The following is a 17,534-nucleotide window of genomic DNA, read 5'->3' as shown; positions in this document are numbered from 1 at the left end:
ACGGGGTTTCACCATGTTGGCCAGGCTGGTATCGAACTCCTGACCTCAAATGATCCGCCCGCCTCAGCCTCCCAAAGTGCTGGGATTACAGTTGTGAGCCACGGAGGCTGGCTTTTTTTTTTTTTTTTTTTTTAGTAGAGATGGGAGTTTTGCCCTGTTGGCCAGGCTGGTCTCAAACTCCTGGCCTCAAGTGATCCCCCATCTCAGCCTCCCAAAGTGCTGGGATTATAGGCTTGAGCCACCATGCCCTGTTTGTGCATATACATTTTAAGAAACATGAAAGGACACATGAAGATATTAGTGCATTTCTTTATTTACTTATTATACTTTTATTGAATGTATAGTAAATGTTGATATTTTGTTAGATCGCTGGGATTTAGACATCAGGAATCTCTGAAAGATAAGACTAAGAAAATATAATACTGCTTAATCAGAGAAACAATTGTGGTGATCATTGGTTCATTAAAATATTTAGCAGATATTGACTGAGAACCTACTAAGTGTTGGGTCTGGAGAGCTTGTTTGGAGGGCTCATCAGTGATGGAAAGTTTCTGAAACTCCTTGGCTAGAATGTCTTTGTTCATCTGGGACCATCCTATTTGACAGAAAGAATGGAAGGGACACTCGAGGAGTAAAGAGAGAGGACAGGGACATCCCCGTGTCCATTCAGCTCAACCAGGTCAACCCTGGTGAGCACTAGGGTGAAATGTCATAGCCATACTTACCTCCTGTCTTACCATTTGCCAGGCATGGTGCTGGTCCAGCGACGGCCAAGAGGAATAAGACACAGACCCTGCCCTGAAGCAATTTACAGTCTAGTGCAGAAGGGCAGCGTAAGCAACAAATTACAATCAAGAGACATGTACACTATGGGAGAAGAGCGAACTTTGGTGGCATAAAGGGAGGGATAGCTTATTCAGCCTGTTGGGGCTTGTCATAGAGAGCTTCACAGGGCAATATGATCCTTCAGATGGGTCTAGAAGATAGGCAGAGAGATGGGGGACAGTACATTCTAGTTTGAGGAAACAGCATAAGCAATTTTTCTGAAATAAGAAACACTAAGATGGTCACAGAATTTCAAGGAGTTCAGTGTGCTTGGACTGCAGGAAGCTGGTTGGAGGACTGGAACTGTAGAGATAAATATGCACCTGTCAAGAAGGTCCTTGTATAACATGCAAAGAAATATGGATTTTAACTAGGCTTCTAGTTTCTCAAGCTGGAGGGCCTGAGGGTTCCAGAAGCTGCAGAATAAACAAGCACCTTTCTGCAGGATCAATTTTGCTTGAAGACTTGGGGAAATGTAATTTTTACTTCAAAACAAAAATGGATGTATTATAGAATAGAATGCAAAATTGACAAAAATAGGAAGAAAAACAGTGACTTAAAAAGAAACTTCATGCTGAGGGTGGGGCCTTTCGGATCCTGCTCTTCTGAGCCCTCCCAAACCTCCAGTTTCACTCTTGCATTAGGAGTACTTAAATAGAGGAGTTTGAGGAGTTCTGCTAACATTAAAGGAAGGGTAGTTGCTGGACTTCCAAGCTTCTGGATGAGTCTGGCTGAGAAAATAGTTGTCATGACTTTCGGGACAGTCAATTTGAAAGCTCTGATATGAGCTCTCTAGAGAAGAGATTATAAGCTCAGCTATATAAGCAGCAAGGAGGAAGAGATGCAGGTGTGGAGGCTGGCAATTTTGTCTCAAGATCATCTGTGAAAATACCTGAAAGAAATCCTAAGGCAGAGTAAGCACAGGTTTGAGGGGGTGCTTCTATCAAAAAAATTGTCCATCATTCACCTCAGCTAGAAAGCTGCTCTGAATTCTCCCCTGTGAGATTCCTTCCTTATGGCTAAAACATGGTATCCCAAGCACCTGCTTTTTAAATGACAACACTCCCAGGAGATGCAATGTGGTTGGCCATAAACAGTTTAATGAACTATTACACAAGTTTAACAGACTATCAGTTCTGTCCACACTGGGAGTTCTGGACCCTTGTTGGCTGGGAAAGGGGGGTGTCTGGCAGAGTATTGAAAAGGATAAAGCAAAGATGCAAGACTTCTACTACTTTGTAATTGTGTCAAGATTTGATGATGAGAAGAAACTCCAAAGTGATTATAGTGATATTATTGGTGACTAGGACTCAAGAAGGAGGTCAATATAACAGTGATGGCACTTGGCCATCGGCCCATCTCCTGGGAGTGAGAGGAAAGGGCAGGAAATGATGAGAGGGAAAGAAAGATACTAGGAAGGGAGGAGAAAGAAGAATGAAGCTGCATAAAAAGTGTGGAGAGGAAAAATGTGTGATGGGAAGAGAGAGAAGCCGGAAAGGCTGCTGGAGAGTCAGTAGCCTCAGAGGTGGCAGAGCTGGAGTCAAGCAGAAAGAATAGACCATTACTCTACTCATGTCCACCCACTCATGCCCACCCCTCTTCCCCTCTGTCAAAATCTAAATAATCAAGATCTCTAGGCTGTATGCAACTATTGTACAAATTGGAAAAGGATGCTTTCTCTGGGCAGGCACAGCACCTTGAGTAAATGGCTTCACAATCATAAGGTGCAGAAAAACATCTTTTCCCTCAGGCAGAGGTGGAGTGGGGTCTGGATAGTTGTTAGCCCTCACTTCCTGGATGGGCACCTTTGTGCAGTACACAAACTGTGCAATCTTACATGGCAGCTCTATCTATAATCTCATCATAGTAATATGACCATTGTTGCATTTTGAAAAATAATGGCCTAAATTGGTGAGAATCTTGACATCTAAGATTCCAAATGTTGATGTATTTTTACCCTAATACTGCTTGGGGTGGGGGATCCTGGATAAAATATTGGTCCAAATACAGTTTTGTTTGGTTTTATTATGCATGGAAAAAGTAGAAGGGACATCCAGAATCTGGCAAAGGACAGGAAGGTAAAACCAAAAAATACACATGCAAATGACCATGAAGCTGACATGAGGAAATTGGCTAGGACCACAAACGTCAATAAGACCAGAGAGGTTGACTTACTTGACAAAAAGTTAAACAACATCAAACTGCCTGACATTAATACAGCTCTTCTACTTTCTTAGAACTTCCCATGTCTAATGCATCCATGTTTTTCACTTAGCCCCTTCCAGACTGAGAGTTGGAACATGTGGCACCATCTTCATTTGACAATTGGATAAACAGAAGTACAAAGCTTTGGTTGTATAGGAACAAAGAATGTGTATAGGAAAAGTGAGCATCTCCATTTCTGAGCTGCTTCTTTCTAATTCCAACTTCCTTCCAAATCTATGACGTTTTCACTTTATCTACAAAGAACTATTTCCCCATGGACACTAACAGAAAACTCTCCTTGAGATTTGCCCAGGTTGAAAACCCATTCTATTAAAAGATCTGATATTTGGTCTGTGAATTGTCTACTAATGCTTTGTCTGGAAGCTTGGGCTTCAGCTTCACCCTTATAGCTCTTCTTCCTTTACTCAACGACTTCTTCAGTTATTTTCTTTCGAAACTTAATTCATATCTCAAAGCTATCCTATCCCTCAGGAGGAGAAACATGAAGAGATTTCTGTGTTGTGGAAGACGACTAGGATATCCATATTCTTCTATTCAAAACTGGGTAGCATGAGGAATTGCAAATTTTAAACGCTGTTTTCACAAGGAACTGAAGCTGGATCTGAGTTCCCTCAGAACAAAGACAGAAGTTAATTATTGCATCAAACTTCAAAATGAGAGACAGAAAAAGAAAATAACTATTGGATTTTAAAAATGAATTTCCCTTCCGAACTCCAGAAAAGCATATGCTCTGAAAAGTATATACTTTTCTATTGAATGTGACTCCCAGGGCTCACTCATCTCTAGGACTTGAAAGCTGAGGCTTTGGGAAAAAGGAGGGAAGGAGGGTCAGGAGAGGAGTCTCTGAAGAAGCAGCCAGAAGCTGGGCACATTATCGAAAATTTGTAAGAGAGTGTTCAACAAAGACATTCTATTGTTTAAAAACCATTTCCGTTAATGGGATGTTAGCAGAAAGTAGAATAGTAAAGTAAAAGCACTAAAACTGTATCAGTTTTCTCCAAATGCTATTGATCAGAAAGTGTGTTTGAATTATAGTCACTTATTTTGCTGTAAATTGTCTGTGAACAGTAATTGATTCTTAGTTAAGTTGACAGCAAGTAGAATTTCAGTACGTGCAAATTTACTTCTGTATACCTTTTTCCCAGTTGCAACTCATGTTGAGGATAACTGGACAAGGCCAGCATTAGGACTAGGCCTAGGAAATGGAGATGAACTCCGGGGCAGAAGTAATGGTTTGCCCAAGATGGCTTCAGAGGGATAAAGGAAGAGGAAGAAAGAAAACCCGGGCGTAACCTAGAAATGTACCACATCTTTGTGAAGATGGAGAAGTGGGACAGGCTGTGTGTATAAAGGGTTGCTGGCAGGCGCTTGGGTTGAAATTATGGTTGGAGGAACTAAAGTCTTAACCTTGGGTTTTAGGGAGATAATTTACCATCTAAATTAAATTATGGTTACCACCACAGTTATTCTAGTGACTATGTTTCTGTGCGACACACTCTGATATGGAAGACAGTGATAACATCAGAGATGCATTCGCTGTTTACATGGGCAGGGTGGGCTCTGAGAGCTCTGGGGTAGGCTCTGTTATTCCTGAAGCTGAAGACACAAGTGCTGGCCACAGCGTGTGAAACTGAGCGTGGCCAAAGAGAAGCCCTCCCTCACTGCCAGCTATGGATTTCTTCAGTCCGCTGCAGAACTCACTGCTGCCCCTTGTGGACAAGTGGTCCATGGAGCTTCTGGAAGAGTCAGTGGGTGAGGCTGGGAGCGATGCTAGGCCGAATGGGTCCAGCTGACTGGGCACATTTGTCTTCATGCTTATGGGATCTTTCTGTTCATTTGCTCCTGATGTGCCCTTTTAGTGACATCCAACTACCTGTGGGGTGGCAGCTGTAATACTTGTGCACTTGGCAAGAAATATTTGATAAGCTAAACCTAAATTCCAAAATTCCTTCAGATTATTATAAGAATTTCAATAATACATTTGTCAATGCAAGGAAAGGAAAAACATTTAGGTTAAATATGTAAGCTCAAATTTCAAATTGAAATATCTGAAAATATTGTATCTGGGTTTCATTCAAATTTGATACCCTGTATTTTTCTCACAACTGTATTTTTTTTAACCAAGCCCCATATGGACATCCACAAACACCTTCTAGTTCATCCTACTTTTTTCTCTGTGCTAGGACATAAAAGGTTTAAAAACAGTTGGCTAGGGGACTAGATATAGATATACAAAAAAACTCCAGCAAAACAAAAATAAAAAAACTCAGAAAACTTCTTTGTGTTTGGTTGCCATCTGCAATAAAGCAAGGCACACAGTAAAGCATCTAATGAATATTCAGGAAAGGGAGATCCTGAAAAACGTTTAGCAAGCAAAGGATGGAAATGGAATTAATTATATAGTAACCTGTTATTACTAATTTAAGATGTGTGAAATGCCATTAACATTATCTTCATTTGGCTTGCTGTCTTTATTGTTTCACATTAGTGAACATAAAAATATTTATATGCGCTTACATAGTAACCATTTTACTATCTATATGTATCCCATAACATTATGTTGTATGCCTTAAGTATATATAATCACATTTATTTTTAAGGCTGGGTGCACTGGCTCACGCCTGTAATCATAGCACTTTGAAAGGCTGAGGTGGGCAGATCACTTGAGCTCAGGAGTTTGAGATCAGCCTGGGCAACACGGCAAAACCCTGTCTCTTTAAAAAGTACAAAAACATTAGCTGGGCGTGGTGGCAGGCCCCTGTAGTCCAGCTACTTGTGGGGACTAAGGCAGGAGGATTGCTTGACCCCCCAGAGGTTGAGGCTGCAGTGAGCTGAGATTGTGCCACTGCACTCCAGCCTGGGTGACAAAGTGAGACCCTGTCTCAAAAAACAAAAGCATCTACTCTAAGATAAATATTCATTACAAAGAGAAAAATTACAACGTTACAGTGGAGAAAGCTGGCTAACACAGCGACTAAGGTTAACTTCACCAGCAATAATGTTGGATACCAACATCATAAGACCCCCCCCCGGAATCATGCTCTGAGAAGGGCTGAAAATGCATGCACTCAATCTAATTATGGAAAAGCATCAGACAAACGATTTGAGGAAAAATCTACAAAATAACTGGCCGGTACTCTTAAAAAATGTCAAGTTTCATTAAAGACAGGGTAAGATCAGTTGCTATCACAGATGAGAGGGGACTAAGGAGACATGACAAGTAATGCAAAGTGAAATTCTTGGATTGGATCCCAGGACAGAAAAAGAATGTTAGTGGCAAACTGACGAAATTTCCATAAAATCTGTATTATTTATTTATTTTTGTTTACTTATTTTTCAAGACAGGGTCTCATTCTGTCACCCAGGCTACAGTGCGGTGACCTGATCTCGGCTCACTGCAACCTCCACCTCCCGGGTTCAAGCGGTGCTCCCACCTCAGCCTCCCAAGCAGGTGGAATTACAGGTGCATGCCACCAAGCCCAGCTAATTTTTTGTATTTTTAGTACAGACCATATTTCACCATGTGGGCCAGGCTCGTCTCAAACTCCTGACCTCAAGTGATCTGCTCGCCTTGGCCTCCCAAAGTGCTGGGATTATAGGCGTGAGCCACTGTGCCCGGCCTAAAATCTATATTTTAGTTAATAGTATTGTACCAGTATATCTCTTGGTTTTGATAATTGTACTTTGGTTATGCAAGATATTATCATTAGGGAAAATGAGTGAAGCGTATATTTGATCTCTCTATTTTTGCTACTTTTCTGCAAGCCTAAAATTACTTCAAAATAAAAATGTAATAAAAATCCTTTTAATCTGATTTCTGAATTCCTTACTCTGCTGTATTGAGTCCTTTTATGAACATTACTGAACCATTTGTTTGCCAAATCACAAGGCTCTACGCAATTGGCTCCAACCTATCTCTGCAGCCTCATGTACACATATCACTCTGTCTACCTTCTGGCCACACCCAACTTTTGTCTCATAAACACGTGTATGCCTTCATATCTCCTGCACCTCTGGACTGGATGTTCTCATTGCCTACAAAGCTCTCCCTCTTCACTGCATGGGGAAATCTATTAACTGTTCAAGACTCAGTTCATGTGTCTCCTTCTTTGTGATGCCTTCTTGGATTTCTTCTAACAGAATTATTCACTCTCTCCTTTTTTCCCCAATGTTTGTTGAACTTCCTTCTATTATAACACATATTAATTTGTCCACCTATTCATTAAGCAACAAATATTTTGGAGTATCTGCTCTGTGCCAGGCACTGTGGTAGGTATTGGATATACGTTGGTGAATAAAATAATATAGTCCTCCCCTTCATGAGTTTATATAGTCAAGAGGCAAAGACAGAAAATAAACAAGCAAACAAATGAATAGATAAATATATAACTAAAAATTGTGGCAAGGGCTATATAAAAAACCCAATAGCACATAAAAATAGAGAGTAATGGGGTAGGATGGGTAGACATTTTTGGATAAGACAGAGAAGGCTTCTTTTAAAATGACCATTCATTTCATTAAAACATTCTCATTAAAAAATTCTGGTAATACAGAAAAGTACAAAATTCAGTATAAAAAATTACCCATAATGCCATCACTCAGAAACAATAATCATAATCAGGCTTCTTCTTTTTTTTTTTTTTGACAACAGAGTGCTCTGTTGCCCAGGCTGGAGTGCAGTGGTACGATCTCAGCTCATTGCAACCTCAGCCCTCTGGGTTCAAGCATTTCTCCTGCCTCAGCCTCCCAAGTAGTGGGACAATAGGCACATGCCACCACGCCCTGATAATTTTTTGTACTTTTAGTAGAGACAGGGTTTTGCCACCTTGGCTAGGCTGGACTGGAACTCCTGGCCTCATGTGATCCGCCTGCCTCGGCCTCCCAAAGTACTGGGATTGCAGGCGTGAGCCACTGCGCCTGGCCCATAATCAGACATTTTAATGCTTATATACATACAGAAGGATAAATGTACAGATCAAAGTGATCATATTGTTCATGTTGTTTCAAATAAGTATTTGATAGATACTAGGTTTTTAAATTTTTTTTTTTTTTTAATAGGGTCTCACTCTGTCACCCAGGCTAGAGTGTAGTAGTACAATCTCAGCTCACTGCAACCTCAACCTCCCAGGCTCAAGCCGTCCTCCTACTTCAGCCTCCTGAATAGCTGAGACCTACCATGCTTGGCTAATTGCATTTTTTGTAGAGAGGTGTTTTGCCATGTTGTCCAAGCTGATCTTGAGCCCCTGAATTTGAGGCGATCCACCCACCTTGGACTCCTAAAGTGCTGGGATTATAGGTGTGAGCCACCATCCCCGGCTTGATAGATGCTAGTTCTAAGACAATGATTCTCAATCTTGGCTGCCCATGAGAAAGCCCTGAGGTGTACAGGTATAAAGTGCAGAGATGGGGGAATCAGCTCTCCCTGCAGTAGGAGGTTGGGACAGGGACCACTTTATGGAAGTGGAAATGTCTACGCTGGGCTTTGACCGTTCACATGATTTCACAAGGTTGAAAAGGAGAACCAAGGACATTCCAGTGAGATGGAACAGCTCAGAGGCATGGAGTGAGGGAGGAAGTAGTCTAGGACTCTGCACAGGGGTTCAGTGCTGTGGGCTGGGAACTGTGGGAGTCATGGCTAAATCAAGATGTGAGACCCAGGTGACAAAGGGGCTGGTGTGCCACTCTAAGGAAAGTTTTGCTGTCAATCTATGTAAGGAGGTTAGTAAAATAATTATCTCTGTTACTACTATTTTTTTTGAAATGGAGTCTCGCTCTGTTGCCAGGCTGGAGTGCAGTGGCGTGATCTTGGCTCACTGCAACCTCTGCCTCCTGGGTTCAAGTGATTCTCCTGGCTCAGCCTCCCGAGTAGCTGGGACTGCAGGCCCGTGCCACCACGCCCAGCTAATTTTTGTATTTTTAGTGAAGACGGGGTTTCACCATTTTGGCCAGGATGGTCTCGATTTCTTGACCCCCCTGCCTTCGACTCCCAAAGTGCTGGGATTACAGGCGTGAGTCACCGCACCCGGCCCTTTTTTTATTTTTTAAAAATCAGTAAAGAAAGTCAATTAAGCTACTTATATGTTCCTTAATCAGAGTCCCCTGTGACATATTCTTCCTTGACTTTCAGTCTCATTAAACATTTATCTAACATAATTTTCTATGCTTATTAGAGCAGAAAATGAATCTTGTGCAAATCAGCTTTTTGCCCTTTTACTTAGTTTCAAGAAGACTCAGAAGCAGGCATAGGGCCTAATTCAATGCCTTTCCAGATGAAGAAAGTCTAGCTCTTGGTGGATTTCCAGATTTCAACCGCCTCTGAATTCTTGGTGACCATGTGACTCCATTCATTGTTACTCCATGGTGGACTTCCCTAATGCTGACCAGCCTCCCCTGAGTAGAGGACATGTTCTTCCAGCCAGATTGGACTGCTCCCAGGCCCCAGCTGGGTCCCCACCCCAGTGCCTGCTCCATGCCAGGGGCCATGTTCCTGTCTGTTTAGGCCCAACCCATCTAGAGGCCACTTGACATGCTGAGTGAGAAAAAGCCAGCTGGTGTGGCTTGAATGTGTGAGGGCAGGCAGAGGTACATTACATAGGATTTTCACATAGCTTTTATCCCATCTACAAAGAGAAAGGAAATGCCACTGTTCTACTGCCTCACACTTGTGGCAGGCCAGGCCTCACTAACAGCTGTTTCAGCACTGACTGAGTGGTTAAGTTAAATATTAAAAGCCAGCGCCCTTATACAAAGGCTGGGATGTAACAAACGCCCATGAAGAGTTTTGCGTAGGCCTTTCCTGGGCCTTAAAGCATGACCAAATAATGAAGGAATTCTTACTAGGACCCATTTAGGGTTAAACAAGTTTTATTGTGGGTCTGAAGAAACTCCCCAGGCCTCCACAAACAAGTTTATTGGGGATCTGAAGGAACTCCTCAAACCTCTGTGATTTAGCAGGAGGCAAGATAAGGGTAATCACCCCAGCACCTGGACCCATTTAGATTAAGTAAATTTACTGAGGCTCCAGAGAAAGGTCTTCAGGACTCAGACCTTAGTTATAGATTACAATAAGTTAATCACGTATGTCTTTAGATGAATGCATACTTACATGTAGACATATAGCTTAGAAGGTATATCAGCTCTGGGAAACTTTGTAATTTTGAGTTGGTCTGATGATAATTTCCAGGCCTTCTCCCTGTAATCGGTCACAGAAATAAAAACTCTCTTCCTCCCCAGTTCATCTGCATCTTGTTATTGGGCTGCGAAAAATAGCAGCCCGACCCTCAGTTTGGTCCAGGAACACACTGACAGTCTGTTCATAGCCAGATAATGACCATAAATAGTTCTAAAAGTAACTTTGATAAGCAGGATTTAATGATTATAATTATACTTGGCTGCAAATAATGGGGACCAATTACTGGTTAAGAAAATCCCACTTTGGGAGGCCAAGGCAGCTGGATCACTTGAGCCCAGGAGTTCGAGACCAGTCTGGGCAACATGATGAAACCCCATCTCTACAAAAAAAGGTACAAAAGTTATCCAGGAATGGTGGCATGTGCCTGTAGTCCCAGCTACTCAGGAGGCTGAGGAGGGAGGCGGAGGTTGGAGTGAACTGTGATTACACTACTGTGATTACACTCCAGCATGGGCTACAGAGTGAGTGAGACTCTGTCTCAAAAAAAAAAAAAAAAAAAAAGGAAAAGAAAGAAAAAGAAAATCCTTGATGCCATTTCAGCTCTGATAGTGACTCTTTCTGTGGTGGTGGGAACTTGGTGGCCTGATTCATTTTTCCCATATGGATAAATGGAGGCTACATTAGTGATTCCAAATTCAATCGGAGAATAGAAGGCAGGATTTCTTGTTCCTTTAGGGAACAGAGAGGTCTTACCTTTAGATATGTGCTTCCTAATTAAAAAAAAATCATATACTTATCCAAGACTTTAAACATGACAGATGTTGTGCTGAACCTTAGACCCAGTGAATTAGAATCCCAGTGCTTGAGCCCAAGTTTATGTATACTTTAAAACTCCACAGTTGTTTCTAATGTGCATCACTGATTGAGAACTGCTGTGCCAGATGATTATCAAAGCCCTATTTAATTTGGCATAAGATCTCAAATAAGAATGGGGACTGGTGGCATCTATTTTTGCTTTTGAAACTGCTTTCCCTAAGGTCTTAATTTTGAAGCACTGCCTGAAAATCCTGTATTTTGCATTTCTTTTCCCTTTAACTCTCTTGAATAAACATCTTGAACTAAGCATCAGCAAAAAGAAGCAACGATGATTATTGTCTTTAGTCCCTGGAGTTTTGCCTTTACTTAAATTAGAGGAATTTCCTGATAGATTTATTTGTTATGTCACTTCACATTTTTATGTGAGGGAAGCTGGTTATGGGGTTCTTATCAGTGTACAATCTTTTCTATAGGACAAAGGCAATAAAAATCATCACCAGCACAAAAAACAACTCCATGAAGCTACAGCACAATGAAAATGTTGTCTTTAATCTTTCTCTTTGCCAAACAAATTCAAGTGTTTATTGTCTGTGTATTCTTTACTCAAAATAAAGAGAAGGTGTTCTACTTAGTCTTATGCCATAATCATTCCATTAATCAGAAGTATCAAAGAAAGCCTAGATGACAGTTTTAAATCAGAGTGATAGATGTTAATGTGGCTCTGAAAGAATTTAATTTCCTGATCCAGGAATTAAACATACTGAAGTCATTTGCTTGGACTATCTATTCTCTCCATGTGTTGACTTAAATGTAAGTACATTATTGAGTTTCCTACACCTTTTATAGAAGCAATAGATGCCAGTATCCATTAGAGGAGAAACGCAGGGCAGTGTGTCTAAGACGTTTTGGATAAATTCAGGAATGCTCTCACCAAGAGGTTCATGTACATTTCCCTTCTTACAGATAGGTAGAACTGTGTGACCACTTTTGGCCAATGAGCTGTGAGTGAAAGTGACTTGTCACTTCTGGGCTGGTATGAGTTCTCTTTGCCTCCCATAGGCACTGAGGATGTTCAGCTAATAGCGCCTCCATGAACCTGGGTCCCCAAGGGACTACATGCAGCAGGGCTCCCCACCTGCAATGGACACGTAGTGTGAGTGAAAAATTAACCTCTGTTCTATTGAGCCACTGAGATTGCAGTATAGCCTGCCCAGACTTGACCAGGGCAGGCATTAAGAAGTATCAAAAAACATCCCAAGACAGGGGCTCCCTTGCTATGTTTTCTTCAAAATGATCTGTGTTTGGAAGATCAAAGTCAAACTTGTGGGGAGAGGCATGGATGGGAGCAAGTATACAATTTATTTCACAGACTTTTTGGCCAGAGTTCTTTGATGCTTAATTAGAGAATAGCTATTTATTCAGAAATGTTAAAACTATTTTACAAATGTGCTGTATGTCCTTTCTTGATCATTGTTAATATTTCTTGGTAATAGCAGTCTCCGTTATATCCTTAGAAGTGGCTGGAGTGAGGAGGGCATGGTGGCTCGCACCTGTAATCCCAGCACTTTGGGAGGTTGAGGTACCTGGATTGCTTGAGCCTAGGAGTTCGAGACCAGCCTGGGCAACAGGGAGAAACCCTATTTCTACAAAAAATACAAAAATTAGCTGGGCTGGTGGTGTACACCTATAGTTCCAGCTACTGTCAGGGCTGAGGTGGGAGGATTGCTTGAGCCCAGGAGGTTGAGGCTGCAATGACCCATGTTCACACCACTGCACTCAAGCCTGGGTGACAAAGTGAGACCCTGTCTTGAAAAACAAAAATAAACAAAAAAAGAGGTTGTTGGGATGTTTTGTTGACCAGAGCCTGAAGGAAAAATTGACCTGGTGGTGCTTGGTGCCAGTCTGGCTTCTACTTTCACCTTTTGGCAACTCCAACGATACTTTACGACCTCAGGAAGTCCAGAAGGACTGAGTATCTCACACTTATCTTCTTAGAAACTGCTTAAGCTTCCACACCCTCAGGACTACAGTTACAAAGATCTGCTAGGCTGGGGGAGGAGTTCTCTCCAGCTTTGCTCTGGTGAATAATCCTTTCAGAGCCTTTATGCCAGTCCAGGACCTTTAGCAACAGAAATTAATATACACCTTTCAACAATCCCTGCCTTCAATCTGCTTATGATCTACCTGAGGAAAAGGACATAAAAACAAGGGTAGAATAACAAAATGAGTGAATATGTACAGATAAATAAATGAGTGGTCAAAAAAGAAAGCTGTGGAGATTCCTACTCAAAATAGTGACTTCAGGCTGAGGGAAAGGAGAATTTGACCTAGGTGTGAAGTGATAAGTCAACTTTTGACAGATGGAGGTGAGCATACAGACAAGTGGAATGGTATGTACAAGGGCATGGAATGGATATGCAGGAAGATTGGAATAAAGCAAGACCTGGGAGAAGTCAGTGAAAAGCCTGGAAAGATAGGTTGGGAGAAATGCCCCACAAGTGTTCCCAAAGCTGGAAGAGTCTACAGTGTTCCCCAGCATGCTGTTAGCATTGCTGTAAACACACAAGTTAAGGGCAAGATTCTTGCCAAGAGAATTAATGTGCATATTGAGCACATTAAGCACTCTAAGAACTGAAATAGCTTCCTGAAACGCGTGGAGGAAAATGATCAGAAAAAGAAGGAAGCCAAAGAGAAAGGCACCTGGGTTCAACTGAAGTGCCAGCTTGCTCCACCCAGAGAAGCACACTTTGTGAGAACCAATGGGAAGGAGCCTGAGCTGCTGGAAGCTGTCCCCTTTGGATTCATGGCATAATAGGGGTTAAGAAAAATAAAAGACCTCTGGACTGTAAAAATGTTTCTCTTCATTGAGTAGAAGTGTGATGTCTCCTTTCCCAAAGAAATATTTAAAGCAAATTTTCATTCTGTCCTTATTCATTGTGTAATGTCTTTACTATTCAAATTGAATATATTTCTTGCTAAAAGATGTGAGGTGGCAACAAATTACTCAATTGGTTAGAAATTGGCTAGGTATTATTTATGAAATATTTGTACTGGTTTGAAGATAGTCCCTCTAAATCATCATGGAAGAAATAAAATAATTTACACACACAAAAAAAAGATAGGTTGGGAGCAGACTGTGGAAAGCACTGGATATTGGACTAATGATCTAGAACTTTCAGCTTTTAGATATTTTCAGCATCTAGCCACGATTTATTTATTTATTTGTTTATTTATTTATTTATTTATTTAAGACAGAGTCTCGCTCTGTCGCCCAGGCTGGAGTACAGTGGTGTGATCCCCACTCATTGCAACCTCTGCCTCCCTGGTTCAAGCGGTTTTCCTTGCCTCAGCCTCCCGAGTAGCTGGGATTACAGGAGCCCGCCACCATGCCCGGCTAATTTTTTTTTGTGTTTTTAGTAGAGACAGGGTTTTGCCATTTTGGCTGTGCTGGTCTCGACCTCCTGACCTCTGGTGATCCACCCACCTCGGCCTCCCAAAGTGCTGGTATTACAGGCATGAGGCACCACTCCAGCCTCATTATTTTTTTTAAGCATGGAGAGTATCATAATCCTAGTGGCGCTTAAGTAGCAGTAGTCTGTTGCCAGGAGCAAGGTTCGTTGGACGGAAAGGACATGGAGGTGAGGATACTTTCATGGCAGACAGTGGTCATGTGTGGAGAAGGGGGGAGATAAGAAGGTTGTGATTACAAAAGGGGGTGCAAAGTGGGTTTCTGTAATGGCTGCCTCCTGGAAGGCAGTGTCACATGGAACCTCTTAGTCTCAGCACCTGGAGCTCCAGGAAGGAAAAATTTCAAGTCAGATAGAATTCTATATATACCATTTCTTTGGAACCTTCAGCCCTCAAGATTCCAACATCATGATCTGAATTTCAGCACAGTTGCCTTAGTCCTCATGTCACTATTTTGGTGCTGCCTGGGTGAAGCAGTAGAAGCCGGTGATGCAATCACTCTCTTGTTAGGTGTGGTTCTCAGCGTTACAGACATTCTTGCTTGCTTGGGGGTATATGCACGAAAGAGAAATGGACAGATGTGACTTTGAAGGGCCTACTGAATCAAGCCTCACCCTGAAAGGCTTTGTGCTATTGAGGCTAAACCTGAGCTTTGGTGAAAGTTTCCAGGAATCAGTAAATAGGGGAGTTTTACATTTTTCATTGTTTCCATGAAATGGGAACAAAAAAAAAAGAGTTTTCTTTACAACAAATAATGCACAGAAAAATGCAGCCTATAATTTGTATTTGCTGGTTAGAAAGAAGGTCAAGGAAGTAAGATGGCTGAAATTTACATAAGTAATATTTCATAGTTTTAGAATTCTCAAAGCACGTGAAATAGGAAGAAGGAAGTTCTTGCCCAGAATCCTAGAAAATCACCAGTATTCAGTTATAATCACTACTTCTTGAATCATTGAGGAGTCTTTTCTCCATATTTTGATTTGATTTTTGTTTTGTTATCTTCCAAGTTAATATTGTATTTAGATATCAAATAGCCAAAAAGGGAAACTTTTATCTCTGGGGAAAAAACATTTAGAAAAATGTATTCAGTGTATCTAATACTGAAATGCAGGAAAGATTTAATGTAAAAAAACACTATAGACATTGACATGGAAAAGATTTAACGTTAAAAAAGCACTTTATATCAACTGAGTAACATCCTCCTGATGAGAAATACTATATTAAATATAAACCCATTATGTTGTAAAAGAAAAAAAGGGTGGGGTGCAAAGCCGACGATATTGCATCAGTGATAATGGGAATGGTCAACGTGTTAGCTTGTAGAGAGTGCCAGGCACTATCAAAAGCATTCTATACTTTAACTTATTTAATTCCCATAGAAACCTGTGAGGAAGGTATTCTTATTTGTATTTCACAGGTTTAAAAACACAAGGGAGTTTAAGTCACCTGCCCAAGCTCTCACAGGTGGTAAGATTTGGGGTGCTCTTAAGTGACTGCCAGAGGTGCTCTTCAGTGACTGCCAAGGGATGGAACTGGAGAGCGATAGTAGAATCCAGACTTTTTGCTGAGCTTCTCTGCTGGGAGGAGAGGGGATGCTAAGCCTATTTTGGGTGAAACCTCCCCTTGGGAAGCTAGAGCATTGCCTTCCTTTTTCCTCAGATCACAATGCTGCTGGGTGGGACCTAGGGGGTAATGGGTCGGGAGTAAGGTAGGTCATAACCGGCATATCTTCTCTCTGACTGAGTTTGTTTTTAACTAGGACATCCTGAGACTTCAGTGAAATATGCTGATGGGAAAGGAAGAGAATGAGTTTCGGTGCAGAAAGGCAGCTGAGGTAGGTATTGCCATTTCCTAGCTGAGTATCATTGCACAAGTTACTTAACTTTGCTGAGGCTTTTTTTCCATGCCTGCAAAATGGAGATGATAATAATTCCTCCCTCTCCCTCAAAGGGCTGTTGTATTAAAAGGGGTGAAGATGTGAAATACTCAGCATTCACATATAATAAGTACTGCTTTAGTGTTAGCTATTTCGTTATAACTCAATTAAATTTTGTTAAACATGTACTATTAGCCCAAGAAAAGAAAACTGGAAATTGGAAAAATGCTAGTGTAGCTACAAAAGAAAAATGCTAATATAACTGGAGCCAGTTGAGACACATCCGATTTCCCTCCTCTCTTTGTCAAAGAAACTTTCAGCTCATGCTCTGGAGGTAATGAAAAGCTCATTATTATTTTCTCTTCTGGTTTGCAACTCTTCCTTTCAGGGGTTTGACAAAGGGGGAAAGCACAAGTTGCCTAATCTAAAACAGCATAATAATCGGTTGTCTTAGTGGCATTTCACGTTTTATTTTCCCAAGGGGATGGTTGCTGGAGCAGATGGACTGTCTGGGCCCCACAGGCAGCCTCTGGGCCTTCTTACAGGAATGCATTTAACCTATACTCATAATATACACACATTCACACAGTGTACCTATGCAAAATAAAGCTGCCAAGCTGCAAGTGCCTCTGTGCAATTAAAAAAAGGTGATAAAAAAATACAGCAAAACAAATTCTCTATGCAAGAACTTCAATTCGTTATGATTGTAAGCCTCCAATCTCACTCTCAGCTTAAGTCAATAATTGCATATTATTGATCTCTGAAAACCACTTCCGCAATCTCTTTCCGAGCTGGCTGTTTTTTTTTTTTTTCAGTTGCAGAGATGCTTTCTTTCTTTCTAAAAGATGGCCACTTCCTTTCATTCAGTGTTTGTGCTTCTTCACGTATCAATACAAGAGAAAAAAAATATTGTAAATGTTATGTGTCTGAAAATGAGTCCGTGGCTGGCTGCTTTTTATTTACTTGCTGGTTCCAAGGTGCTTTTGTGGACTTTGAGCTCCACCCAGTGGCAATGTGTAGCCAAAAACCTTAAAAAAAAAAAAAAAAAGAGACATGATTTGGAGATGAAAGAAAATATCAGAAGCAATTAATTAGTTTCCTTTTAAATGACCTAGAGAACCTGGTGTTTCAAAAGCAAGAATATGAACAGGTCATTGCAATCCAATCAACATCACTGTAATGCTGACCTTT

General features: G+C 41.3%; 1 protein-coding gene and 1 pseudogene across 1 annotated transcript; one reads left to right on the top strand and one right to left on the bottom strand.

Moving 5' to 3' along the window:
- On the bottom strand, positions 431 to 734 carry RN7SKP209 (RN7SK pseudogene 209; annotated as a pseudogene).
- Positions 10,378 to 15,051, top strand: LOC124901354 (small integral membrane protein 30-like). Its single transcript, XM_047419629.1, has 2 exons — positions 10,378 to 10,399; positions 14,897 to 15,051. The coding sequence occupies exons 1-2, from the start codon at positions 10,378 to 10,380 to the stop codon at positions 15,049 to 15,051; spliced, it is 177 nt and encodes a 58-aa protein (XP_047275585.1).
- The last annotated feature ends 2,483 nt before the right edge of the window (positions 15,052 to 17,534 follow it).

This window comes from Homo sapiens, chromosome 6 (assembly GCF_000001405.40).
Source record: "Homo sapiens chromosome 6, GRCh38.p14 Primary Assembly".
In the NCBI taxonomy this organism is placed as follows: domain Eukaryota; kingdom Metazoa; phylum Chordata; class Mammalia; order Primates; family Hominidae; genus Homo; species Homo sapiens.
The sequence above is the reverse complement of the archived record's forward strand: the minus strand, read 5'-3'. Positions and strand labels throughout refer to the sequence as shown.